At 37.1% G+C, this 26,554-nt stretch overlaps 1 protein-coding gene across 5 annotated transcripts in view, besides 2 other annotated features; it reads left to right on the top strand.

Moving 5' to 3' along the window:
• The window catches only part of C6 (complement C6), a 119,354-nt gene that overhangs the window by 5,214 nt on the left and 87,586 nt on the right, over positions 1–26,554 (top strand). The window lies entirely within an intron of this gene.
• Positions 3,229–3,761: an enhancer, noted in NCBI's record as "NANOG hESC enhancer chr5:41252597-41253129 (GRCh37/hg19 assembly coordinates)". NCBI's record gives its function as "activates a minimal SCP1, AML or CMV promoter by ChIP-STARR-seq in naive H9 embryonic stem cells {active_cell/tissue: H9 hESC(naive)}" and the evidence as "EXISTENCE:reporter gene assay evidence [ECO:0000049][PMID:30033119]".
• Positions 25,437–25,938: an enhancer, noted in NCBI's record as "NANOG hESC enhancer chr5:41230420-41230921 (GRCh37/hg19 assembly coordinates)". NCBI's record gives its function as "activates a minimal SCP1, AML or CMV promoter by ChIP-STARR-seq in primed H9 embryonic stem cells {active_cell/tissue: H9 hESC(primed)}" and the evidence as "EXISTENCE:reporter gene assay evidence [ECO:0000049][PMID:30033119]".

The raw sequence follows: 26,554 nt of genomic DNA, 5'->3' as shown, positions 1-26,554 counted from the left end.
CACACGTATGTTTATTGCGGCATTATTCACAATAGCAAAGACTTGGAACCAACCCAAATGTCCAACAATGATAGACTGGATTAAGAAAATGTGGCACATATACACCATGGAATACTATGCAGCCATAAAAAATGATGAGTTCATGTCCTTTGTAGGGACATGGATGAAACTGGAAACCATCATTCTCAGTAAACTATCGCAAGAATCTAAGACTCTTAACCCCAAATTACATCTAACATGACATTTGCTCTCACTGCACAGCAACCTCATGATACTAACTTGTCAAAAGTTGGGAATGTAACCCCATACTTCCTTTCTGTTAGCACATCTCCACTCACAGATGCTTAGACATCTTTTCACAATGATTTTGCCTTACCTGGGAACTATTCCCTCTGTAGAGGCTGAACTATAAAAATAAGCTCTTTACAGTAATATAATCTCCTTATTGGACCACAGGTCAACTCCTGACCAAGCTGGCCACTCATATTCCCTTCTCTGGGAATTAAGAATTGGAACTGCCAATTTGTTTTTACTTTTGACAGACCTATAGCACGTAAATTCAGTTGTGAAACATTGTCTTCCCTTCATAGACCACAAAAATCAAAAGCCAATCAGGGCAGGTATAAGAATGCATATTGTAGGCAGAGAGAAGTGGAGATATGTTCAGGCTTCACAGTTTCCTATTTCCTGATTAGAGTCCCTTCCCAAGGCTTGGCTTCATGACTGTCATTGATTCCATAAGACACACTTGTACTACTATATATATTTCCTATAAGTAAGCCCTTGTCTCCGTTACTTGCAGCCCAAAGAGTCCAATTTCCCTTCTACCAAGAATATGAAAGAATGAAAGTGGATCTTGTGTAACCATGTTAAGACTCTTATCTTTTTTTTTTTTTTAACGGAATCTCACTCTGTCTCCCAGGCTGGAGTGCAGTGGGGCGATCTCGGCTCACTGCGGCCGCCGCCTCCCAGGTTTAAGCAATTCCCATGCCTCAGTCTCCCGAGTAGCTGGGATTACAGGCACCCACCACCATGCCCGCCTAATTTTTGTATTTTTAGTAGAGACAGGGTTTCACCATGTTGGTCAGGCTGGTCTTGAACTCCTGCCTCAAGTGATCTGCCCACCTTGGCCTCCCAAAGTGCTGGAATTACAGAGATGAGCCACCATGCCTGGCCAAGACTCTTATCCTTTTTTAAAGTTAATTTCTAGTTGGCCCCTCAAAGCATTTGTTCTCTGGGAAGTTGATGTGGATGACCAGGAATCAGACATGAGCACCTATGCATTATACTCTGGGTCTTCACCAATTTCTTGCAAAATTTAAAGTGACACAATCCCTCTATACCTGTCTACTCATTTGCAAAATTATCTAGGAGACTAAAACGCTTTCACTGAGATCCATAGTAGCAGAAGTCACATAAACTCTTGCAGGACTAGTCACTGTGTGCTTCCTGTAAATCTTGCTTTCTGGATTGCAACTGTTCTTCAGTTAAAATTTTATAAAGATAAAATGTTGTCAATTTGATTAAAGTCTATTCCAACACTGTATTATGATTTCCTTTCTATAGGGATCACTTAACATTTACATTGAGCTGAAATACACAGTGGTAATCTCTGATCTATCAGATAATAATTAGAATAATTGTGAAGGTTCTGTAAAGGGAGTTATCAAGGTTCTCTTCACTCTCCACTTGGTAGCTATATAATGAGGCTGGTGATATAATCTATAAGTAATATTTTAATTAAACCTAAGAAATGGAGGCTATACATGTAGGTACTTCTGTAGAAACTCTATTTTACTAGCTAAGGAGAAGACAAAAATTATAAAACTATTCTTTCTCTTTCTTTTTTTGAGATGGAGTCTTGCTCTGTTGCCCAGGCTGGAGTACAGTGGTGCAGTCTCGGCTCACTGCAAGCTCCACCTCCTGGGTTCACGCCATTCTCCTGCCTCAGCCTCCCAAGTAGTTGGGACTACAGGCGCCCATCACCACACCCGGCTAATTTAATTTTTTGTATTTTTAGTAGAGATGGGGTTTCACCGTGTTAGCCAGGATGGTCTCGATCTCTTGACCTAGTGATCCACCCACCTCGGCCTCCCAAAGTGCTGGGATTATAGGTGTGAGCCACCATGCCTGGCCAAAACTATTCTTTCTTTTCTATGTAATAATTTTTTCCTATATATATTGCAGTCAGGAACGTACTTTTATACATAAGTTATTCCTAGAAACATGTACTATTAATAAATAAGGCCAACTGTGTGAAATTTGCCCATATTTGCAACTTTTAAGGTTGGGATCTATACTTAGAGAACTTGGAATGTTATAAAATCCCAAATTACACATTGCCTTTTGGGCATAATTATCAAAATATTTTTTCACTGTTGCATACAATGTATTTTTTACAACTCAAAAACACCTTTAGGAAGCACTATCAATTTAATTACAGCTTTGGAGAAATTACAATAAAAATACCATATTTTTAAAAAACACTTTCTTTATTGTTGATGTTGATATAAACAATAGCACATATTATCCGTACAATTACATTCCACTCTGGATCAAGAAAGCGTAACAAGGACAATCCAAAATAACCTAAAAACAAGCTAAATAAAACAATGGTTTTTCAGCCATTGGACCCTACACTCTATAGAGCAGTGATTCCTGGGAGAGAGAAAACAAATTAGGTGGGTCCTACAATTGCCCTAGTTTACAGCCTTGATAAAAGTTTTTAGGCCTCAAGAAAAGGAGGAAAATCCCAAGTGGAGCCTGGGAGTCTCCCAGAGTTAAGAAAACAGACTTGGGACTGTAAGGATGTACAGCCAACTAGAGTTCACAGGGCAGGGTAACAAAAAGGAGAGAGCTACACAGAGAGAGATTTATGAGATAAAAATTTGGTGAGGGCCCTCCTCCAGCCTTTGGGTGAGTATCAGTCAGCTCACAGGTATGAGGAAACCACCTGAGGCCCAGCAAAGAACCACCCAAGAGGTTGGATTACAGGTGAAAACCACAGAGCTCAAACAAGGTTGGAGATGTTTATATTCCTACCAGCCAGAAAGGAAAAATCCCATGCATAACATAAATGAAGAAAAGTATACCAAGGGACTTCATAATCAAATGCTTAAAACAATTACATGTCATTCTTAACATATAATCAGATTTCAATTCAAGCCCATGCCTTCTTCCCCTCTTCAAAAATATTTGAAGAAGTTTATTCTGAGCCAAATATGACTCAAATATGACAGACCATGGCCTGGAACACAACCTCAAGAAGTCCTTAGAACATGTGCCCAAGGTGGTTGAGTTACAGCTTGGTTTTACACATTTTAAGGAGACAAAAGTTACAGGCAAAGACATAAATCAATAAATGTGAGGTATATATTGGTTCAGCCCACTCACATGCCAACGGTGGAGTCAAAGATTTTCTGATTGGCAATTGGTTGAAAAAGTTAAGATAAGGGGAGCTGTGGAAGCCAAGGTTCTTGTTATGTAGATGAAGCCTCCAGGTAGCAAGCTTCAGAAAGAATAGATGGTAAATGTCTCTTATCAGAACTTAAAAGGTATCAAACTCTTAAATTTCCCCTGAATCAGGAAAAGACCTGGAAAGGGAAGGAGACTCTCTACAGAAGGTAAAATTCTCCCAAAAGAGATGGCTTTGCAGGGCCATTTCAAAATACATCAAAGAATTACATTTTGAGGTAAAATATTTTTCTTTTCTTCAGGACCTGCTATCTGTCATTAGATGCTATCTATATCAGAATCAGGTTGGAGTTGGGTATCTCACTGCTACAAAGAGTCTGTCTTGTAGGTCTTATGGTCTCTATTTTAATGTTAGTGCTGGTCAGTTTTGCCTCAACTCCAAAGGGAGGGGTATAATGAGGCATAACTGACCTCCCCTCCCAACAAGGCCTGAACTAATTTTTCTTTGAGATCCTCTTGGCCAAGGAGGGGGGCCATCCATGCAGACTGGTGGAAGGCTAAGAATTTAATTTTTGGCTTACATCTTGTTTCCAGAATCTCTACCAGCCAAATGAGGTTAACATATTTCTTTGAATACACAATGCTCATGCTTTCCAATGCTTTAGGAATGTCTATTTATATTAGTTAAAATAGGGCCAAGTTTGAAAGTGAATCACAGAATATTTGCAAACCACCTTTAAATGGTCTTAGGTATCTGAATTTGCATATTACCTTAACAAATCTGTGTACACACATGTGGCCCAAGCATCTGGAAAAGATAGCCACGCTATAAAATCTTTTGCCATAAGGTTTACTTAGGATATGGATTTAGCTTCTTGCCTCTCTCCTTGAGTTTCATGCATTTACAGCCCCTTTATTTCCCAACCATATCTTTTCCCTTAGCAGAGACTTTACTTGCTTTTTGCTTCATGTTTCTAACCACAGATAAAATTTGCATTTCCCATATACCCAGCCTTGATGCAGAGACTCCAGCACAGTAAAATCCCTGAACTACCTAGTATCCCAGAATGAAAGGAAGGCACACGCAGCCTAGTCTGTCCTACATTGCAGCTTCAAGAAGAGCATTTGCAAAAATATATTTTGTATTTGCCTAGCGTCTGTCATTGTTTTAGCTCTCTAGCATCAGAACCCTTTTCTTAACTTGGGAGAAACTTCTTAGTGTAAGCATAAAGCTGAAAATTCGAAGACCTAGGTCCTTGACCTAAGATTCAGCTGTTCCAAACTTTTCTTCTAGGGCAAGGGACACAAAGAGGAGGATATCAGGAAGAATTCCCTTTGGTCATGACTACAGGGTTGGTGGCAACAAGATCAAGTTTTCAAGGACAATATGCCTGCCACACTAATAACAGCAATAGCATTCAATGTCTAGTGCCAGTGGTGCCAGTGATCCAACCTATTGCATCTGGTACTTGGTAGAAAATATATATATATATATGGTTCTGGGATGATTTGGGGTACAATTTCAGGCTGCCCCTATCCAGATTTTTCAGCCTGCTTGTTGTTTATTTGGACTACTCAACCTTTTCTTAAATAAGTTCCTTTTGGCCTGAATCAGCTGTTGTCAATTTATTTAAGAACTTGCATGTAAACCTGATTCAATGCATAATAACTAAAATACTTATGCCAGAGGCAGGAGAATAATATGTAAGATGGACCTAGAGTTTCAATTCAAAACTCAGAGATTCTAAATTTTATTATAGTTCTCCGCACTCAAGATGGGTGATTTGTGGCCAGTAATAAATCATCTCTGAGCTTCAAGGTCTTCAGATATAAAGTAGAGAAAATAATCTGATCAAACGATTGACAAAAAAAGTAATGTGTCAAATTATTTTCTTTATACCAAATTAAGATATTGAAAGGCTTTAAACATAGAATCTTTTCACATTACACTAAAATTATTTCTGGGAAGGTGACATCTCTTTCCTACTAAATAATAAACCACTATATTAGTCAGCTTCTGAGGTAGCAAGAAACAACTACACAATCTCAGTGGCTTACAACAGCAAATATTTGTTCCTTGCTCACAAGTCTGAAGGTTTACTGTGGCTTACCTGGGCTCACCTGGGGTCATCTGGGCTCAAGCTTGGCTATACTCTATGTGATCTCATTCTAGGTCCCAGCTAGAGGACCAGTGGCTCTTGGGGGCCACTTTATATAGTGTGTATAGTGGATAATAGGAATGCAAGAAGCCAAATCAAACTCTGCCAGGACATTTAAATCCTGCTCAGATATGATGTACTTCAGGTCAGTTCACATTCCATTGACTAGGCCCAACATGAATGGGACAGAGAAGATAGAGACAATAACTTTCATTTTTTTCATCCCAGGGTCTAAAATATAACTGGGTACAAATTAAGTTTAAAGGACATTTGTGGAGTGGAATCATTAATTCTAGGACCACAGGTAGACAACAGCTCTAAAAACGTGCTTAGAAATCATCTAACTCATGCCGGTAATTTTAAAGGATGGAAAGCTGAGACCCACAAGGTTATGTGACATATGCAAATTCCGCAGAGTTTGGTGCCACTATTGGGTAACATAACTTCAAGTTTCTCCTCAAGCCTAGGGTGAGAGTGGAGGTGGAATTTTCCATTCTGGAATATATAGTCTAGTCTGTTAAATAGGGTGTGACGCTGCAAAGCCGGAGCCACATATTAAATTCCCCCGATACCATTAACTATGGATAATTTGTCCCTAGTTAAAAGCTGTTGACCACAAGGTGGGAAGGAATTGACTCTGTGCATGCAGCTGAAAAAGTCCAAATCTAAACCCACCCAAAGAATTTGGAGCATATAATTATCTCCATTTAAGAGGGTAGTACATTATTTATGAAAAGCTGTCCATCCATGTTTTCCTTTCTTCTTTCTTTTTCTTTTTTTAAACATGACTCTGAAACACATTTTTGTCAGTTTTCTTATGAGTACTCCTGTAAGTTAGTCATTCTGTCCATAGTATGGATTAGATCTGAAATGAGCCTATTTGCTCTGAGAACTCAAAGTTAATGAGGAATAATCAATATCCATGGCTTTATTCAGTTCTGACTCCTGGCTTTCAGATAAAATACACTTTTTACCCACATGTAGAATTTCAGCTCATCAGCAAGGGAGAGCTCAAATAAAGCCGAAGGTATGATAGATTGAGCTGTGAAAACAATTTAGCCAATATTCAAAACACATCTGGCTAATCCCTAACATTAATTTCTCTTATGCTTTGCTGAAGGTTATAGCAGAAAGATTATGGATGAAAGAAAATCTCCTCTGTGGCTCTCAAAATTAGAGCTTTAAAATTAAAGTTGATTTACTACATCAAAGTAAAGTAGAGGTTGGATATCTATAGGAGCAAATACAAATATAACAGTTCTACTATCATTTTCAGTATTTACAAGCATTTAAATTGTTATTATTTTAACTATTGGGAAAAAAAGAAATACTCAGGTATTATTGTTATGTTTTTAAAAACTTGAACTGACTTTTTTTTAATGTAATTTCAACTTGTATTTTAGATTCAGGGAAAGCATGTGCAGTTTTGTTACCTGGGTAAGGGGTACCATTGATCCCCTCACCCAAGTACTGAGCATGGTACCAATAGTTAGTTTTTCAACCCTTGTCCTGTTACTTCTGTCTCCCTTCTAGTAGTCCCCAGTGTCTATTGTTTCCATCTTTATGTACATAAGTACCCAATGATTAGCTACTACTTAGAAGTGAGAATATACAGTATTCAGTTTTCTATTTCTGCATTAAACTTCTTAGAATAATGACCTCTAGCTGTATCTATGTTGCTGAAAAGAACATGATTTTGTTCTTTTTTATGACTATATAGTATTCCACAGTGTATATATACCAATCCACCATTGATGACCACCTAGATTCATTCCATATCTTTGCTATTGTGAACAGCACTGCAACAAACATGTGAGTACATGTGTCTTTTTAGTAGAATGATTTATCTTCTTTGGCTATATACCCAGTAATGGGATTGCTGGGTAATGGTAGTTCTGTTTTGAGTTCTTTGAGAAATCTCCAAACTGCTTTCCACTGTGGCTGAACTACTTACATTCCCACCAGCAGCGTATAAGCATCCATTTTCCCCACGGCTTATCCAGCATCTGTTGGTTTTTGACTTTTTAATAGTAGCCATTTTGACTGGTGTGAGATGGTATCTCATTGTGGTTTTGATTTGCATTTGTCTGATCATTAGTGATGTGGAATGTTTTTTCATAAGTTTGTTGGCCACTTGCATGTCTTCTTTTCAGAAATGTCTGTTCATGTTTTTGCCCATTTCTTAATGAGGTTGTTTGTTCTTTGCTCCTTCAATTGTTTAAGTTCCTAATGGATTCTGGATATTACACCTTTGTCAGATGCATAGCTTGCAAATATTTACTCCCATTCTGTAGATTATCTGGTTACTCTGTTGATAGCTTCTTTTGCTGTGCAGAAGCTCTTTAGTTTAATTAAGTCCCACTTGTCAATTTTTGTTTCTGTTGCAATTGCTTTTGAGGGCTTAATCATAAATTCTTTCCCAAGGCTGAGGTCCAGAATGGTATTTCCTAGGTTTTCTTCTAGGATTCTCATAGTTTTGAGTTGTTACATTTAAAATTTTAAGCTAACTTGAGTTAATTTTTGTATATGGTGAAAGATACAGGTCCAGCTTCATTATTCTGCATGTGCTAGCCAGCTATCTCAGCATCATTTATTGAATAGGGAGTCCTTCCCTCATTGCTTATTTTTGTCAACATTGTTGAAGATTAAATGGCTATAGGCATACAAGCTGGGTTCTCTGTTCTGTTCCATTGGTCTATGTGTCTGTTTTGTACCAGTATCATGCTTTTCTGGTTACTATAGGTTTATAGTATAATCTGAAGTTGGGTAATATAATACCTCCAGCTTTGTTTTTTTTGCTTATTCTGGCTCTTTTTTGGTTTGAATATATGAGGATAAAATATTTGTACATTTGTTTGTGTCTTTGATTTCTTTCAGCAGTATTTTGTTTTCACTTGTACAAGTTTTCCTTGTAGAGATCTTTCACTTTCTTGGTTAGATATATTGCTTTTTTTTTTTTTTTTCTGAGATGGAGTCTCACTCTGTCACCCAGGCTGGAGTGCAGTGGCGCGATCTCGGCTCACTGCAGGCTCCACCTCCCGGGTTCATGCCATTCTCCTGCCTCAGCCTCCTGAGTAGCTGGGACTACAGGCGCCCGCCACAATGCCCAGCTAATTTTTTTCTATTTTTATTAGAGATGGGGTTTCACCATGTCAGCCAGGATGGCCTTGATCTCCTGACCTCATGATCCACCCAAATTGGTTAGGTATATTTCTAAATATTTTATTTTATTTTTACTTTTCTGTGGCTATTGTAAATTAGATAGCATTCTTGATTTGGTCCTCAGCTTGAACATTATTAATGTATAGTAATGTTATTTATTTTTGTACATTAGTTTTGTACCCTAAAATTTTACTGACGTCATTCCAGGAGACTTTTGGAGGAGGCATTAGGGTTTTCTAGATATAGGATCATATTGTCAATTAGGAGAGATAGTTTGACTTCTTCTTTTCCTATTTGGATGCCTTTTATTTATTTTTTTTCCTTTGCCTGATTGTTCTGGCTAGGACTTCCTTGAATTGGCTTATTTAGAGAGGTAGAATCAGCATAAACATAGCATAATCTAGGCCTAATACTGTGCCCAGTCAGCCTAGTACTTTATATGGCATGTAGGCACAAGGAAAGACAGGTTTTCTCACATTTGATCTAAGTAATGATCAGAGTATAATATCTAACCAAAATTTTTATTATTAATACTTAACTGATATCTGTCATTATTGCACAGATTTAACTTTCTGAATCTGATTTTATAACCATATAAATTTATTATGTTACTTCTAGAGGTAAATATTTTACTGAATTACTCCCCAGAAGGTAAAGATGTATTGCTCTTATTTATCCCAAATTTTCCTTTTCTAGCTCAAACATACAGTCATCATTTTAGTCCTCATCAAGTAAGTTTGTTTGTCTTGCCCTCTTCTCAATCAAGTAGGAATTGCATTTAGCTGCTGGGAGTAGACATCCAACAACAACAGTATAAACACATAAGAATGTCTTTTTCTCACAAAGAAACAGCCTAGAGTTAGACTGCCCTGGACTGGTTTATGGGCCCACAGCATCTCCAGGCTTTTTCAAAAACTCCTAGTTAGATGCACCCTGGCCCAATGAGTCACCTATGACTGTGCTGTCACGCTGATGTAACTAATATTGCTTTAAGTGGTATGACTAATTTTTTTTGCACCTGAAGATTACTTTGGACACTCTCTGCCTGCACATATGGCAGAGAAGCTTTTATCAGAACAGCACTCCCACTAAGAATAATTAGAATAGTTGGATGCAATTTCAAAAACATCTGTGTGAAGGCATCAGTGAGGATGTAAAAGAACAAGATCCTAGAGAGAAGCAAAGTACAGAAATGAGCCTAGCATTTGGCCAGCTTTTAACCTGGAGGCATCTGTTGATTTACAAGCAATGGCCTAGAAACAGAGATCTAACAGCAAAGAAGCCAAGAGGCATGGAATCCAAGAGAAACGTAGCACCAAGATACTAAGAGAGTAGCAGACTTTTAGACTGGGACTAAAATTTGGAGTTCATGGCTTGCCGAAAAGGAGGCCCTGGTAAACATCATAGGAGTCAAGTTTAAGTCTTAACTTTGACAAGTTAAGAATTGTCAAAGACTAATTCTTCAACTCATCTCTACCTTCGAGGGTATTAAGATGATCTACCTCTACTCTAAATGCCCTCCTAAAGGGAAGGAAACCTTCTTCAGAGGGATAATTTCCTATTCATTTTAGGAGGCCAGAATAATTGTGACATCCAAACTAAAATGGCATTACTTTTAAAAAAGGAAAATCATAGGTCAACATCTCTCATGAATAAATATCAAAGCTCCTAAACAAAATATCATCAAGCAAGGATTTTCAGTAGTTTAAAAAGATAATACATGACAACTAACCTGGGTTTACTCCAGGTTTCCAAGTTTTTAATTTCAAGATTTAAAAAAAAATCAATCAATGTAATTTCCTATATTAATACAATAAAGAGACAATAATACGATTATCTCAACTGATGAAGGAAAAGCATTTGATAGAACTCAATAACTGATTGTGATTTTTTTTGAAAGCCACTTTGCAAATTAAGGTACAGAAATTGAAATGTTAACTAAAAACTTACCCACAGGAAAAAAATATCAAGGTCCAGATGGCTTTACTAGTGAATCTTGTTAAATTTTTTTTTTTCTTTTTGCCCAGGCTGGAGTGCAATGGTGCTATCTCAGTTCACTGCAATCTCCACCCATGAGTTCAAGCGATTCTCCTGCCTCAGCCTCCGAAGTAGCTGGGATTACAGGTGTCTGCCACCACGCCCAGCTAATTTTTCATAGAGATGGGGTTTCACCATGTTAGTCAGGCTAGTCACTAACTCCTGACCTCAGGTGATCTGCCCATCTCGGCCTCCCAAAGTGCTGGGATTACAGGCGTGAGCCACCACACATGGCTGTTAAATTTTTAAGGAAGAAAAAAATGCCAATGTTACATGAACTCTTTCAGAAAAGTAGGGAAGGTGGCAAAACTTCACAACTTATTTTATGTGATCAGCATTACTGTGATACCAACATGAGACAAGATACTGCAATAAAAGAAAATCACAGACCACTAATGAAAATAGATACAAAAATAATTATAAAAAATGTTAACAAATAGAATTCAGCAAAACACAAAAAGGAAAATAAACCATGACCAAGTGCAATAAATCCTAGGAATGTGAGGTTAGTTTAACATTAAAAAATCAATCAACATGATTCACCATTTTAACTGAAAAAATGAGGACCATACAATCATTTCATTAGATGCAGAGAAAGCATGCAGAAAAATTCATTGCTAATTCATAACTCATTCATGATTTAAAACTCTCAGAAAATTAAGAAGATAAGGTAATATCCTGATCCTTTCTACATTCACTCATTGAATTTTGTGATATTAACTAAAGTTTATTATGTAGAAGAGAATCACATTTAAAGGAAAAAAAAAATGTGTTTGACTTTTAATACCTTGGCTTTGAAGTGCTCTTCCCCTGGGGACATCTAAGAACAATTTCCAAGGGGGACAGTGGTTGACAGTTCTGGAGGGTCATAGACACAAGGCATAGATTAGAATTATAAATTTGGGAGCCACGTCTGTGCAGGTAGTTATTGAAGCAATAGTTGCAGATTAGGTTGCATAGAAGCTACATAGCAAGGTATTTATTAGTATGGGCTTTGAAATCTCACTGCTTGAGTTAGACCCAGTCTTTACCATTTGTGAAGTATGATCCTGGGCATGAAATTCAACTTATCACTTTTTCTCTGTATGCCTACCATTATCATACACCTACCAACCATAAAGATGTTATAAGAATTAACAGAATTTTATGTGTAAAATATTTAGAGCATGTCCTGGAACTACTAAACACCATAAAAATTTTAGCTTTTGCTGCTGTTATTGTTGTCTCAAAAGAAAGAAAACGTAATAAAAAGAAGAGAGGAACTTATAATAAGTTATTTGGTTTAGAATGTTCATATTTACAACGTTGCTTTTGCAACTTTATTATAAAACTTTATTTTTCACACATTAAGTTCAAAAGTATCTTTTTCTATAGTTGTGACTCCCTTTTAATATTAGATTATGTTTTCTCAAAAGCAGGTCCTGAGTCAAAGAGATAAATGTAGTTTACATGGATGGTGATCCAAGAATTAATGGTATAGAATGGAAGGTGATAAGACTGGGAAAGAAATGAAGACAATATTGTGTGTTATGACCTTGGTTTTTAGTGTAGGCAAATGTGACTTAATTCCACATTTAGAAGACAATGTAGAACACATCTCAGAGTTACTCCAACTGAGGAAAGAGAAAGTGAGAATATTTTTCTACCACCTCCCCAGCTGTCCAAGTTTGAGTGCTACTTAGCATCATTAACTCTCTGTTATTTCTGGATTGCCTTTTACATATGCTAAGAGTTTCCCCAAGGCTGTTAAAAAGCCTTCAGGCAGAGAGTAGCAGAGATTTCATTAAGTAGGCTTTGGTGTGTAGAAGTGAGAGCTAAGGAGATATGACAGACCACCTACAGCTATTGCTATATCCACACTCTGCGAAGGATATACTAAGTAATAACAGTCATGTCTAGCTTAGTAACTAGTCTCATTGTTCCCAAAGAAACTTTATAAATCAAAAAGAACTTTAAAAAAAATGTGTAAAGCAGCTAGATTCAAGAAATTCTGCTCAAAAAGCCTAATGGATTATTATGAAGCACTACACAAGTTTAAAGAGCCTAGAATAAAAATTTTTTAACATAACAAATCACTAAGTAAACAATTATTTGAAATGCCTGTAATGGCACAAAATAATAGAAAATGTGCTCACAAATCATGAGATATGAGTGTCAACATAAAAATCACACAATAAAAATGTTTAATAGATAATTTATAATGGTATAAATGTGTGGAGGTAAAGTGATGTTATGATTTATGAATACAATGTGGAATAATTAAATCAACCTAGTTAATCAATCTAGTTGACATGTCATCATCTCAAATAGTTAACTTTTTTTGTGATGAGAACATTTGAAACTTAGTCACTTAGCAATTTTGAAATGTACAATATCCTATTATTCACTATATTCACCAAGCTGTACAATAGAACTCAAAAGAAAAGAAAAGTTCTCCCATCTGAGATGTTGTATACTTTATCCATTATCTTCCCATTCCTCCTCCCATCCCCAGCCTCTGCAACCACCATTCTACTCTCTGCGTCTATGAGTTCCATTGTTTTAGGTTCCACATGTAAGTTAAACCACACAGTATTTTTTTTTTTTTTTACTGTACTTGGCTTATTTCATTTAGCATAATGTTTTTCAATTCCATTTATGTTGTAAATGATAGAATTTCCTTCTTTTTTAAGGATCAATAGTATTCCATTGAGTGTACATACTTTTTTTAATCCATTCATCTGTTGACGTACCATTCTGGAGGTGACAGGAAAGCCTAAATGTGGGATTTCTAAGGTTATTGCAAACATGAGAGAATTGAAAGAAAAATTTTGGCTAGAAATTTATTTTGAAATGAAACATAATTTATATAAAGATGTTTGAAAACAATTTCTTAATTAAGAAAACATTCTCCATATAATGTGTGCTAACTACAGAGAAATCAAAACTCAGATGTATTCTAAAATGTAACTTTTGCTAGAACTCAGATGTACCCTGTTTATTCTGTTTTCATACTGCTATAAAGAACTGCCCAAGACTGGGTAATTTATAAAGGAAAGAGGTTTAATTGACTCACAGTTCCACATTGCTGGGGAGGCCTCAGGAAACTTACAATCATGGCAGAAGGCAAAGGAGAGGCAGGCACCTTCTTCACAGGACAGCAGGATGGAGTGAGTACAAGCAGGAAAAATGCCAGACGCTTATAAGATGATCAGATCTCGTGAGACTCACTCACTATCATGAGAACACGATGGGGGAAACCGCCCCCATGAACCAATTACCTCTACCCTTGGTCCCACCCTTGACACATGGGGATTATGGTGATTACAATTCAAGATGAGATTTTGGGTGGGAGGACACAGCCAAACCATATCATAGTCCAAAAATGTAACTTTATTTTCTCCAAGTTTTTTTTTCCTTTCTGCTCCTATGCCAATTAATGAGGAAAAAAGTCTTAAACTTTTCAATTAATATTATTCAAGGTAACTATATAATGAGCTCAAACTTAAGCTCCCTCTTAGGACTATTTTTGTCTTGCTATAGGTTTTTTTATTTTACCTTCTCCTTTTCAAGATTCATCCAAATACTCATGGAAGAGGAATGATGGGGACACTGGTCCACCAGCTGTCTTTTCACACTGTGCTGGCTGCTATTGTGAATGTTCTGTCCTACCTAAGTACTAAGCATCCTCAAACAATATCCATATTGAACCAGTCTTGCTATCTGGTCTTTTGAAGCTTTATATGTAGTAGCATCCACTTTGAAACCCACATTTCCTATCATACCATCTAGTTAATGTCTCTTCTGTTCCATGAATTTTCTCACAATTTTTTGTCACCCCATATAGCACACTGAGCTTGTGGAAACCACAAGTAGGCTTTATGAAATTTGAAATATTACCCCATATCCTTTCACTTCCTCCAACATTGCTGCTTTCTTGTTCTCCAACCATGCTGCTTGTGGTCCATTCTGAATTCATGGTTTCTCTGCATGACCCGTAAAGTCTTTAGTCTATGTCCAGGGAATCACAGTTCAATGTACAATATTTTTTGATTCCTCCAAATTTATTTGGACATGTTTTACTATCTCCCAGGGGCTCAACCCTGGTAAAGAGAATGAAGCCAAGATCCAGTGGTGTGCTAGCGCCAGCTTATATAAGCTCATAAAATTTTATTGTTAGAATCTTCCCACCCACTACCACTGCTGTTATCACTGCCAGAGAGCTGTAGCATGAGCTCCACAGAGCCTGAGAGCCACCTACCTAGACTGGCTGCCACTGGCAGAACCCCACCCCGCCTCCAGCAGCAAGGTTGCCACACACTTGCATACATGCTGAGGATAGCCTGCTGCTGCTGGGGCATGCCAACCAGGGCCTGGGAATTGCCCCACTTTGCCCACCACAGCCTATTCCTATGCATGCCACTGGGGGCCTCAGGACAGGCACACCTGGCCTGGCACCACCACCACTCCTGCGAGCATGCTGCCCAAAGATCTGGGAAGTTGTCTTGCCCTGTAAGTCACCCCAGGTGCACACACATAGCATCAGGGGCTCTAATAACAGCCCAATAATGCCGGTCATCCGAGCACGCAATTTGGAGACCTAAGGACTTCCCTACTGTGCCCACTACACCTTATACCCATGCACACTATGGAGGGGAGACCTAAAGAGAAGCCCACCTCACCTGGTATTCCCCATCTAGCCACTAAGGGACCTGGGGTATCACCCCACCCCATCGGTCACTCTGGGCACATGTGTGCACCACCAGAGGCCCCAACCACAAGCCCAGAAAACCTGCAGCTGGCACTCAAGCATGCTGCCTGAAAGCCTGAGGATTGCCTCACCCTGTCCACCACTGCTGGTATCTGTGCAGTCCTCCCAGGGGCCTGAAGATGGGTCAGCCCAGCCTGCTGCCACCACCAACATCAGCATCCACATGTGCCACCTGAGGGTATGGGGAATGGCCCACCTGGCCCATCACAGCCACCATTAATACCAGAGAATGCTGCCTGAAAGCCCAAGAGTTATCCCGCCACCCTACTGCCATGGCCCATACTATGCATGCTGCTCAGCGGCCCAAGGACTCACCCATCTGCTTGATCCACAGCTGCTCCTACTGGCACCCAAGAAAGCCACCTGGAGGCTCAAGAATTGGCCTGCCTAAACCTGCTACCACCAGTGGCTGTGTACACTGCTCAGGGGTCCAAGAACAGGCATTCTTGGCCCACCAATAGCACCTATGGGGCAACAAAACTGGACTGGTGTCCCTGTTTCCAGCAAAACCTCACCAGAGCTTCCACTAACAATGCAGCCTGACCAATGAAGATCCATGGCATAGAAAACTTGTTTAACAAAATAATAGCTAAAAACCTTTTCAAGCCTAGCAAGAGATTTAGAAATCCAGATACAGGAAGCTCAAAGATCCTCCCTAACACATTATAGTCAAACTGTCAAAAGTCAAAGACAAAAAATGAATTCTAAAAACATCAAGAGAAAAGTGTCTAGTCACATATAAGAGAACCCCCACAGACTAACAGCAGATTTCTCAACAGAAACCCTACAGGCCAGGAGAGAATGGGATGATATATACAAAGTGATGAAAGGAAAATTGCCAGACAAGGACACTATATCCAGCAAAGTTACCTTTCATAAATGAAAGAGAAATAAAGCCTTTCCTAGACAAGCAAAAACTGAGGGAATTTATCACCACTAAACCAGACCTGAAAGATATGCTTCAGGGAGTCCAACACCCAGAAGTGAAAGGAAGATATCTGCTATTATCAAAACACAGAACAATAAAACTTACTGATATGTGGGATCTAAAAATCATTAAACTTATAGAGAGACATAAAATAATGATAGGTACTAGAGGCTCAGAAAGGTGTGGAGGTGTTTTGAGGGGTGGGGGATGGGGAAAATGGGTATAAACATACAGTTAGAGTAAGTTCTAATGTTTGATAGTATAGTAGGGTGACTATATACTATATATAGTGTATAGTAGGGTGACTATAGTTAACAACAATGTATTGTGTATTTCAGAATAGCTAGAGGAGATGACTTGAAACATTCCCAACACATAGAAATGATAAATGCTCAGCCAGGCACAGTGACTCACCCCTGTAACCCCAGCACTTTGGGAGGCCGAGGCAGGTGGATCACTTGAGGTCAGGAGTTCGAGACCAGGATGGCCAACATGGCAAAATCCCATCTCTACTAAAACTACAAAAATTAGCTGGGCGTGGTGGCACGGGCCTGTAACCCCAGCTCATGGGGAGGCTGAGACAGAAGAATCACTTGAACCTGGGAGGTGGAGGTGCAGTGAACCAAGAACATGCCATTTGCACTCCAGCCTGGGCGACAGAGCAAGAATCCGTCTCAAAAAAAAAAAAAAAAAAGAAAGAAAAGAAAAGAAATTATAAATGTGCCAGATGATGAATACCCAAAATACCCTGACTTGATAATTATGCATTCTATGCATGTAACAAAATGTTACATTTACCCCATAAGTATGTACAAACATTATGTATCAACAAAAATTCAAAGAAGTTGACTTTTAGATTTTTAGGAATGTTATTAGCCTGCTGTTAAACACGTAAGTTATTTTAAATTAAATTTTATGAACCCAATTTAAATTAATTATATTAAAAACAAAAGTAATAAAAACTCTAATTCACCATATTCTAATAATTTTAATACATTTTTACCAATTTTTACTAACAAAATAGGTTTTACTAATATCTATGCCCTTCAGGTTATTTGTGTATATTTTATCTTTCTAATTCTACTTTCAATGACATCAGGCTGGTAACTTGAAATTATTCATGATGTCAGATATTACACCATAAAAATTATCAAATGCTGCAAGTGTTAATCATTTGTCAGCACAACACTGGTCATGTCTCACCTCTTCTCCATCACTTCCTGAACCCTTTGTCTCTTCTCTTCCTCTTTTCTCCAGTGGTCTAAGGGTTTTATTACTTTCGCTTCTGGTGTGAATAGACTTGCCCCATATTCTCCTCTTCGCCTGGGTTAAAAGAAGGCAATAATGCCATTTATTATTTATTAATAAAGAATGAGATATGTGGCATTATTTCTGAAGGCTCTGTTCTGTTCCATTGATCTATATCTCTGTTTTGGTACCAGTACCATGCTGTTTTGGTTACTGTAGCCTTGTAGTATAGTTTGAAGTCAGGTAGTGTGATGCCTCCAGCTTTGTTCTTTTGGCTTAGGATTGACTTGGCGATGCGGGCTCTTTTTTGGTTCCATATGAACTTTAAAGTAGTTTTTTCGAATTCTGTGAAGAAAGTCATTGGTAGCTTGATGGGGATGGCATTGAATCTGTAAATTACCTTGGGCAGTATGGCCATTTTCACGATATTGATTCTTCCTACCCATGAGCATGGAATGTTCTTCCATTTGTTTGTGTCCTCTTTTATTTCCTTGAGCAGTGGTTTGTAGTTCTCCTTGAAGAGGTCCTTCACATCCCTTGTAAGTTGGATTCCTAGGTATTTTATTCTCTTTGAAGCAATTGTGAATGGGAGTTCACTCATGATTTGGCTCTCTGTTTGTCTGTTGTTGGTGTATAAGAATGCTTGTGATTTTTGTACATTGATTTTGTATCCTGAGACTTTGCTGAAGTTGCTTATCAGCTTAAGGAGACTTTGGGCTGAGACAATGGGGTTTTCTAGATAAACAATCATGTCGTCTGCAAACAGGGACAATTTGACTTCCTCTTTTCCTAATTGAATACCCTTTATTTCCTTCTCCTGCCTGATTGCCCTGGCCAGAACTTCCAACACTATGTTTAATAGGAGCGGTGAGAGAGGGCATCCCTGTCTTGTGCCAGTTTTCAAAGGGAATGCTTCCAGTTTTTGCCCATTCAGTATGATATTGGCTGTGGGTTTGTCATAGATAGCTCTTATTATTTTGAAATACGTCCCATCAATACCTAATTTATTGAGAGTTTTTAGCCTGAAGGGTTGTTGAATTTTGTCAAAGGCTTTTTCTGCATCTATTGAGATAATCATGTGGTTTTTGTCTTTGGCTCTGTTTATATGCTGGATTACATTTATTGATTTGCGTATATTGAACCAGCCTTGCATCCCAGGGATGAAGCCCACTTGATCATGGTGGATAAGCTTTTTGATGTGCTGCTGGATTCGGTTTGCCAGTATTTTATTGAGGATTTTTGCATCAATGTTCATCAAGGATATTGGTCTAAAATTCTCTTTTTTGGTTGTGTCTCTGCCCGGCTTTGGTATCAGAATGATGCTGGCCTCATAAAATGAGTTAGGGAGGATTCCCTCTTTTTCTATTGATTAGAAAAGTTTCAGAAGGAATGGTACCAGTTCCTCCTTGTACCTCTGGTAGAATTCGGCTGTGAATCCATCTGGTCATGGACTCTTTTTGGTTGGTAAACTATTGATTATTGCCACAATTTCAGAGCCTGTTATTGGTCTATTCAGATATTCAACTTCTTCCTGGTTTAGTCTTGGGAGAGTGTATGTGTCGAGGAATGTATCCACTTCTTCTAGATTTTCTAGTTTATTTGCATAGAGGTGTTTGTAGTATTCTCTGATGGTAGTTTGTATTTCTGTGGGATTGGTGGTGATATCCCCTTTATCATTTTTTATTGTGTCTATTTGATTCTTCTCTCTTTTTTTCTTTATTAGTCTTGCTAGCGGTCTATCAATTTTGTTGATCCTTTCAAAAAACCAGCTCCTGGATTCATTGATTTTTTGAAGGATTTTTTGTGTCTCTATTTCCTTCAGTTCTGCTCTGATTTTAGTTATTTCTTGCCTTCTGCTAGCTTTTGAATGTGTTTGCTCTTGCTTTTCTAGTTCTTTTAATTGAGATGTTAGGGTGTCAATTTTGGATCTTTCCTGCTTTCTCTTGTAGGCACTTAGTGCTATAAATTTCCCTCTACACACTGCTTTGAATGCGTCCCAGAGATTCTGGTATGTGGTGTCTTTGTTCTCGTTGGTTTCAAAGAACATCTTTATTTCTGCCTTCATTTCGTTATGTACCCAGTAGTCATTCAGGAGCAGGTTGTTCAGTTTCCATGTAGTTGAGCGGCTTTGAGTGAGATTCTTAATCCTGAGAAATAATGCCGCATATCTACAACTATCTGATCTTTGACAAACCTGAGAAAAACAAGCAATGGGGAAAGGATTCCCTATTTAATAAATGGTGCTGGGAAAACTGGCTAGCCATATGTAGAAAGCTGAAACTGGATCCCTTCCTTACACCTTATACAAAAATCAATTCAAGATGGATTAAAGATTTAAACGTTAGACCTAAAACCATAAAAACCCTAGAAGAAAACCTAGGCATTACCATTCAGGACATAGGCGTGGGCAAGGACTTCATGTCCAAATCACCAAAAGCAATGGCAACAAAAGCCAAAATTGACAAATGGGATCTAATTAAACTAAAGAGCTTCTGCACAGCAAAAGAAACTACCATCAGAGTGAACAGGCAACCTACAACATGGGAGAAAATTTTCGCAACCTACTCATCTGACAAAGGGCTAATATCCAGAATCTACAATGAACTCAAACAAATTTACAAGAAAAAAACAAACAACCCCATCAAAAAGTGGGCGAAGGACATGAACAGACACTTCTCAAAAGAAGACATTTATGCAGCCAAAAAACACATGAAAAAATGCTCATCATCACTGGCCATCAGAGAAATGCAAATCAAAACCACTATGAGATATCATCTCACACCAGTTAGAATGGCAATCATTAAAAAGTCAGGAAACAACAGGTGCTGGAGAGGATGTGGAGAAATAGGAACACTTTTACACTGTTGGTGGGACTGTCAACTAGTTCAACCATTGTGGAAGTCAGTGTGGCGATTCCTCAGGGATCTAGAACTAGAAATACCATTTGACCCAGCCATCCCATTACTGAGTATATACCCAAAGGACTATAAATCATGCTGCTATAAAGACACATGCACACGTATGTTTATTGCAGCATTATTCACAATAGCAAAGACTTGGAACCAACCCAAATGTCCAACAATGATAGACTGGATTAAGAAAATGTGGCACATATACACCATGGAATACTATGCAGCCATAAAAATTGATGAGTTCATGTCCTTTGTAGGGACATGGATGAAATTGGAAACCATCATTCTCAGTAAACTATCGCAAGAACAAAAAACCAAACACCGCATATTCTCACGCATAGGTGGGAATTGAACAATGAGATCACATGGACACAGGAAGGGGAATATCACACTCTGGGGACTGTGGTGGGGTCGGGGGAGGGGGGAGGGATAGCATTGGGAGATATACCTAATGCTAGATGACACGTTAGTGGGTGCAGCGCACCAGCATGGCACATGTATGCATATGTAACTAACCTGCACAATGTGCACATGTACCCTAAAACTTAAAGTATAATAAAAAAAAAAACATTAAAAAAAAAAAAAAAGAATGAGAATGTAGGACTTGGACTTTCAAAAATATTATCCTCATTTTTGGCTGCTAACTTGCTTTCCAAATCTCATCTTCACAGTGAATAGAAGGACAAATCTCAGCCAAGATTCCAAATCATCTCAAACTACAAATTAATAAAGTCTCATTAGTAAGGAATTATTATAGCAACAGGCAACAATAAATTATCTACCTTGTATTCTGAGTAATTCACATTTACAAATGTGCCTTCATATTTTATCACCTTGGCATTATTGGCTCCTCATAACTTTCTTAGTTTCTCATGATTATAAAGCTGATTTAACAAGTTACTAGTGAACATGACTAATTGTATTCCCTTGTAGTCACCACAGTACAGCAATCTCAAGGCAGAGGGTTTTCTGCTCTTCTGTTTTCCCAAACTGTGCAGAGGAACTAGGCAATTGGTTCATTAGTCATTAGTAATCATTTATAAAATTGGAGAAACTACAGAGCAATGATATTTCCACTTTTGTCCAGCTTCTACACTCAGTGCTAATTCAATCACTTTCTAGATTAAATCTCTGTTTTCTTACTCTATTGATTAAATGGCTACTTTGCCAGATAGGATTTACAAGACCAAGCATGTGGGAAATATATTTATTGCCAAATTATCTGGCAAAATGATTTCCATTCCCTAAGTTATGCAACATCTTCCAAGCAAAAAAAAAAAACAAAAAACAAAAAACAAAAAAAAAAACGAAAGGGTAGAATAACAAAGTATCCCACACTGGAATATTCTAGGATTTTCCCATGAACATTATTGGAAAGTGGAATTTCTATCATTGTTACGAGGAATTTACTTCACCTGGAAGTTATTGATATTGATACATTGCAATTACATAGTGTTTTCTACTTTTCTCCTTCAAAAGTAGTAATGTGAGATCCACCTGGAAAGAATGACCCCTGTGGGAAAGAATTCTGTAGGTAATATTATATAATTTGTTTTGTAAATTCTGGCTTACCAAAACCTTGACTATGGTTAAGCAAAGTTCACTCATCTATGTATCATATATAGCAATACTTTGAAGGTTTTTATTTTAATATTAGAGATTTACTATGGAAACAGAAATATTTGTGGAAATCATTTAAGCGATATTTGATACTATTAATGCTGTCATATATTTATTATGACCAAAAGAAAATAATAAAAACTTTTATAAAAGAACTAAATAAACTGTAAATATAGAGATAGATGGAGTTCTCATATAACCTGCCAATAACTTAACGTGGCTAGAGCAAATGATCAGGTCTCATTTGGATTTTGCTGTTTGTCTCAGTGTTCTTCTTTCAAATCTTCTAAGATTAGATAGGTCTTTTTTATTCTCAGCTCTTATTAATAACTACAATTATTTTTTTGTTCATGCACTAAATTGGAGCAACTCAGTGCTTATTACAAATCTACAAATGTGTCTGCCTCCTTCCAAAGTGCTCTACAAAAATCTTATTGCCTACTTTGCTGTAATGAGAATAGCTGCATCTCGTTTTAGCTTTATTTTGTTTTGTTACACAATTGCTCCTGACAGTCTTCCCTTTGCCATCTTGTAAATATTCTATATGTGAAGAGCTTCTCCATCTATAGTGAAAAAGAATTATGCCTTCCTTAGAGTTCTAAAGTGAACATAGATTTTACATCATATAGCCCATTTACACTTTTTGTAGAATATCCATCAAGAAACAATGGTAACAATAGTTTAAGACATTATTGTTTATCCATTTCATATCCCATATCTTTTGTGCCACAAGATCCATGAAGATCAGTGGTCTCATTTACTTTTGATAATGACCAGAATGAGTAGTTAGAGCAGTTATCATTTCCCTATTTTACAGATAAGAAAACTGACTGCTAAAAATGTTAATTAAAATTTCCAAGATCAAATAATTGGTGACTGAGCTGATATTAGAAACAAAACTTTATATGAATAAATGTTTATAATATGTTGTCAAATTAATTTTTAAATACAGAAAATACAGTAATACACATGAAAATTATATACATAATAGAATATTAATTGAAAATATATGCATACAAAGCAGAAATAATGCTAGTGCAGCAGATTCTATAAATATAAAATATCTGCTGTATTTAAGGCTGTAATAGATACTGGGTTTACAGAAAGAGTAGACATGGTCCTTGTCACAGTAAAACTAATAATGTAATGAGAGATATAAATGCTAATAAAATAAACACAAAAAGAAACATGACAACACAATATGAGAAAAAAGAACAAAAAATAAGGTGCTATGAATAGCATCTAATTAATATGAGAGTTGATTTGACTCTGAGGAAGTTAATTGAGACTGAAAACAGAAAAATAATCAGGAATTAATCAAGAGAGGGTAATGAAGCAAAAAAGATCATGAATGACTTAAAATTTTTTTTACTTTTCTGTATTTCCAAATGCCTAAGAAAACACACATAACTTTACTAATCAGAAACAATGCATACCTGCTTTTTAAAAAACAACCTCGTATGACTTCTGATTCTGACTGACAGGATACTTATTAGTACTAACAAGCTTCCTAGCAAAAGCAACCATAAAAGCTAAAATTAAAAAGAGAATATCCAAGGCAAAATATACTTTACTGATCAAGAAACCAGAGAAAGAAAAATCCATGTGGTTAAGACAAATTCTCTGCCACTTTTCTTTTAAGGGATTTACTAACTGATAATTGAAGTAGGCCAAAAGATTTAGCACAGAGCAGCAGATCAGAGCTTTCCACTATCTCAGAGTAGTGTAGTAGGAAACAGAAGTGAGTAAGGGCTACTAAGACGGCCACAACTCAAGGGATACGCAGAGGGGGAAACATACAAAGAAGTAAACTCAGTATTTGTTTCAGCTTTTTATGTTCAAATATTTCCTCATTCCTGAAGGGTTAAGAAACAAAGCAGAAAGCAATATATAACAAAGCTAAGAAGAATTTTTGAAAATCTCATAGTTACAGGGATACAACAAAGACAGCTATGAATTAGGAGTCCTAACAAGAACAACAAACTTTTGAGATTCTTAAAAGGTAAAACCTGAAGAAGACAGAAAAAACAGATATAGTCATCTCCACAGACACTAAACTTCAGCACAAATTATCCCAATCACTGAGTAAAGCAGTATTATTTGTCACTACTCTAACTGTGCCAGAAAAAAAAAACTGTATTAAAGAAAGTATATTAAAGAAATTCTTATATTAAAGAAAATTATTAATTAGGAACATGTGATTTTTTCACACACAGTGTCTATCATTTTTAAAAAATTACCAGGCAAGACAGGACACAGAACCAAATGTCAAACAAGAGGGGAATAACATGTTAGAAACAGAATCATAGGCACACCACTTACTTTAAAATAAGTCTAATTAGTACTTTAAAAAAATAAATGTCAAAATGGAGAATTTTACCAGAGGATCAGAATTTATTTTTAAAAAGATAAAACAAACCCCAAAATGAAAACTATAACCTATTAAAAACAAACTAGATGGTTGTAACAGCATATTAGCTTAGATATTACATGTATTATGATTACACGATAATGGAAGAAGCAAAAGTGTAGTTTTTGTATGTGAACAAAGTTAAGCTGTCATCAGTTAAAAATGGACTGGTTTTAACTGTAAGATGAATTCTGTAACTTTAACTGTAACTGTTAAGATGAATTCTGTGAGCTTCATGGTAACCATAAAGCAAAGCCATATAGTATGTACATTAAAAAGAAATGAAACATGTCACCATAAAAAATCATAAATATCTCAAAGTAAGACAGTAAGAGAAAGAATGAAACAAAAAACCCTACAAAATAAGAAGCAATTTTAAAAATGAAACAAGTAAATCCTTATCTTTCAATAATTAAACACAAATGGATTAAATTCTCCAATTAAAAGAGTAGCTAAGTGGATAAAAAATAAATGTATTTTAAGAAAACAAGATCCAACTGTAGGCTGTCTACAAGAGAGTCACTTTAGCTTTAAAGATGCACATAGATTGAAAGTGAAAGAATAGAAAAAGATACTCCATGCAAATAGTAAACAAAAGAGAGCAGGAATGGCTATACTTAGATGAGACTAAATAGAATTTATTGTATGATAAAGTGGTTAATCCATCAAAAAGATATAACAATAGAAACTATATATGGAAAGAATATTAGGGGAACCAGCCCCCAATATTTCAATGTAGGTTCTTTTCTATTTTCTCTAAGTGTCAGCCAGTCTGAGAAATAAAGAGAAAGCATACAAAGAGAGGAATTTTACAGCTGGGCCTCCAGGGTGACATCACATATTGGTAGGACTGTGATGACGACCCCAAGCTGCAAAACCAGCACGTTTTTATTAGGGATTTTAAAAGGGGAGGGGGTGTACGAACAGAGAGTAGGTCACAAGGATCATATGCTTCAAAGGGCAATAAAGATCACAAAGGCAAAGGCAAAATTAGAATTACTGATGAGGGTCTATGTCCTGCTGTGCACACATTGTCTTGATAAACATCTTAACAAGAAACAGAGTTCAAGAGCAGAGAACCAGTCTGACTAGAATTTACCAGGCTGGAATTCCCAATCCTAGTAAGCCTGAGGGTGCTACAGGAGACCAGGGCTTTTTCAGTCCTTATCTCAACCACTTAAGACAGACACTCCCAGAGTGGCCAATTATAGACCTCCCCCCAGGAATGCAATCCTTCCCCAGGGTATTAATTATTAATATTCCTTGCTGGGAAAAGAATTCACTGATATCTCTCCTACTTGCACGTCTGTTTATAGGCTCTCTGCAAGAAGAAAAATATGGCTCTATTCTGCCCAACCCCCCAGTCAGTCAGACCTTATGGTTATCTTCCCTGTTATGCTGTTCTTTTCAAGGTGCACTGATTTCATATTGTTCAAACATATATGTTTTACAATCAATTTTTACAATAGTGGTCCTGAGATGACGTACATTCTCAGCTTACAAAGATAACGTGATTATGAGATTAAAGTAAAGACAGACATAAGAAATTATAAGAGTATTATTAGGGAAGTGATAAATGTCCATGAAATCTTCACAATTTATGTTCAGCGATTGCGGTAAAGACAGACATAAGAAATTAGAAAAGTATTAATTTTGGGAACTGATGAAAGTCCATGAAACCTTCACAATTTATATTCTTCTGCCTCGGCTCCAGCTGGTCCCTCTGTTTGGGGTCCCTGACTTCCCACAACAAAAGAACATTGAGCACCAAAATATATCAAGCAAATATTAACAGAACTGAAAGAATAAACTGCAATAAAACAATAGTATTGAACTTTAATACCCCACTGTTAACAGTAACTACATTATACAGATAGAAAATCAATAAGGAAGCCGAAGATTTGAATAACACTA

Source organism: Homo sapiens, chromosome 5 (genome assembly GCF_000001405.40).
Source record: "Homo sapiens chromosome 5, GRCh38.p14 Primary Assembly".
In the NCBI taxonomy this organism is placed as follows: domain Eukaryota; kingdom Metazoa; phylum Chordata; class Mammalia; order Primates; family Hominidae; genus Homo; species Homo sapiens.
This window is presented reverse-complemented; position numbering and strand designations above follow the sequence as displayed.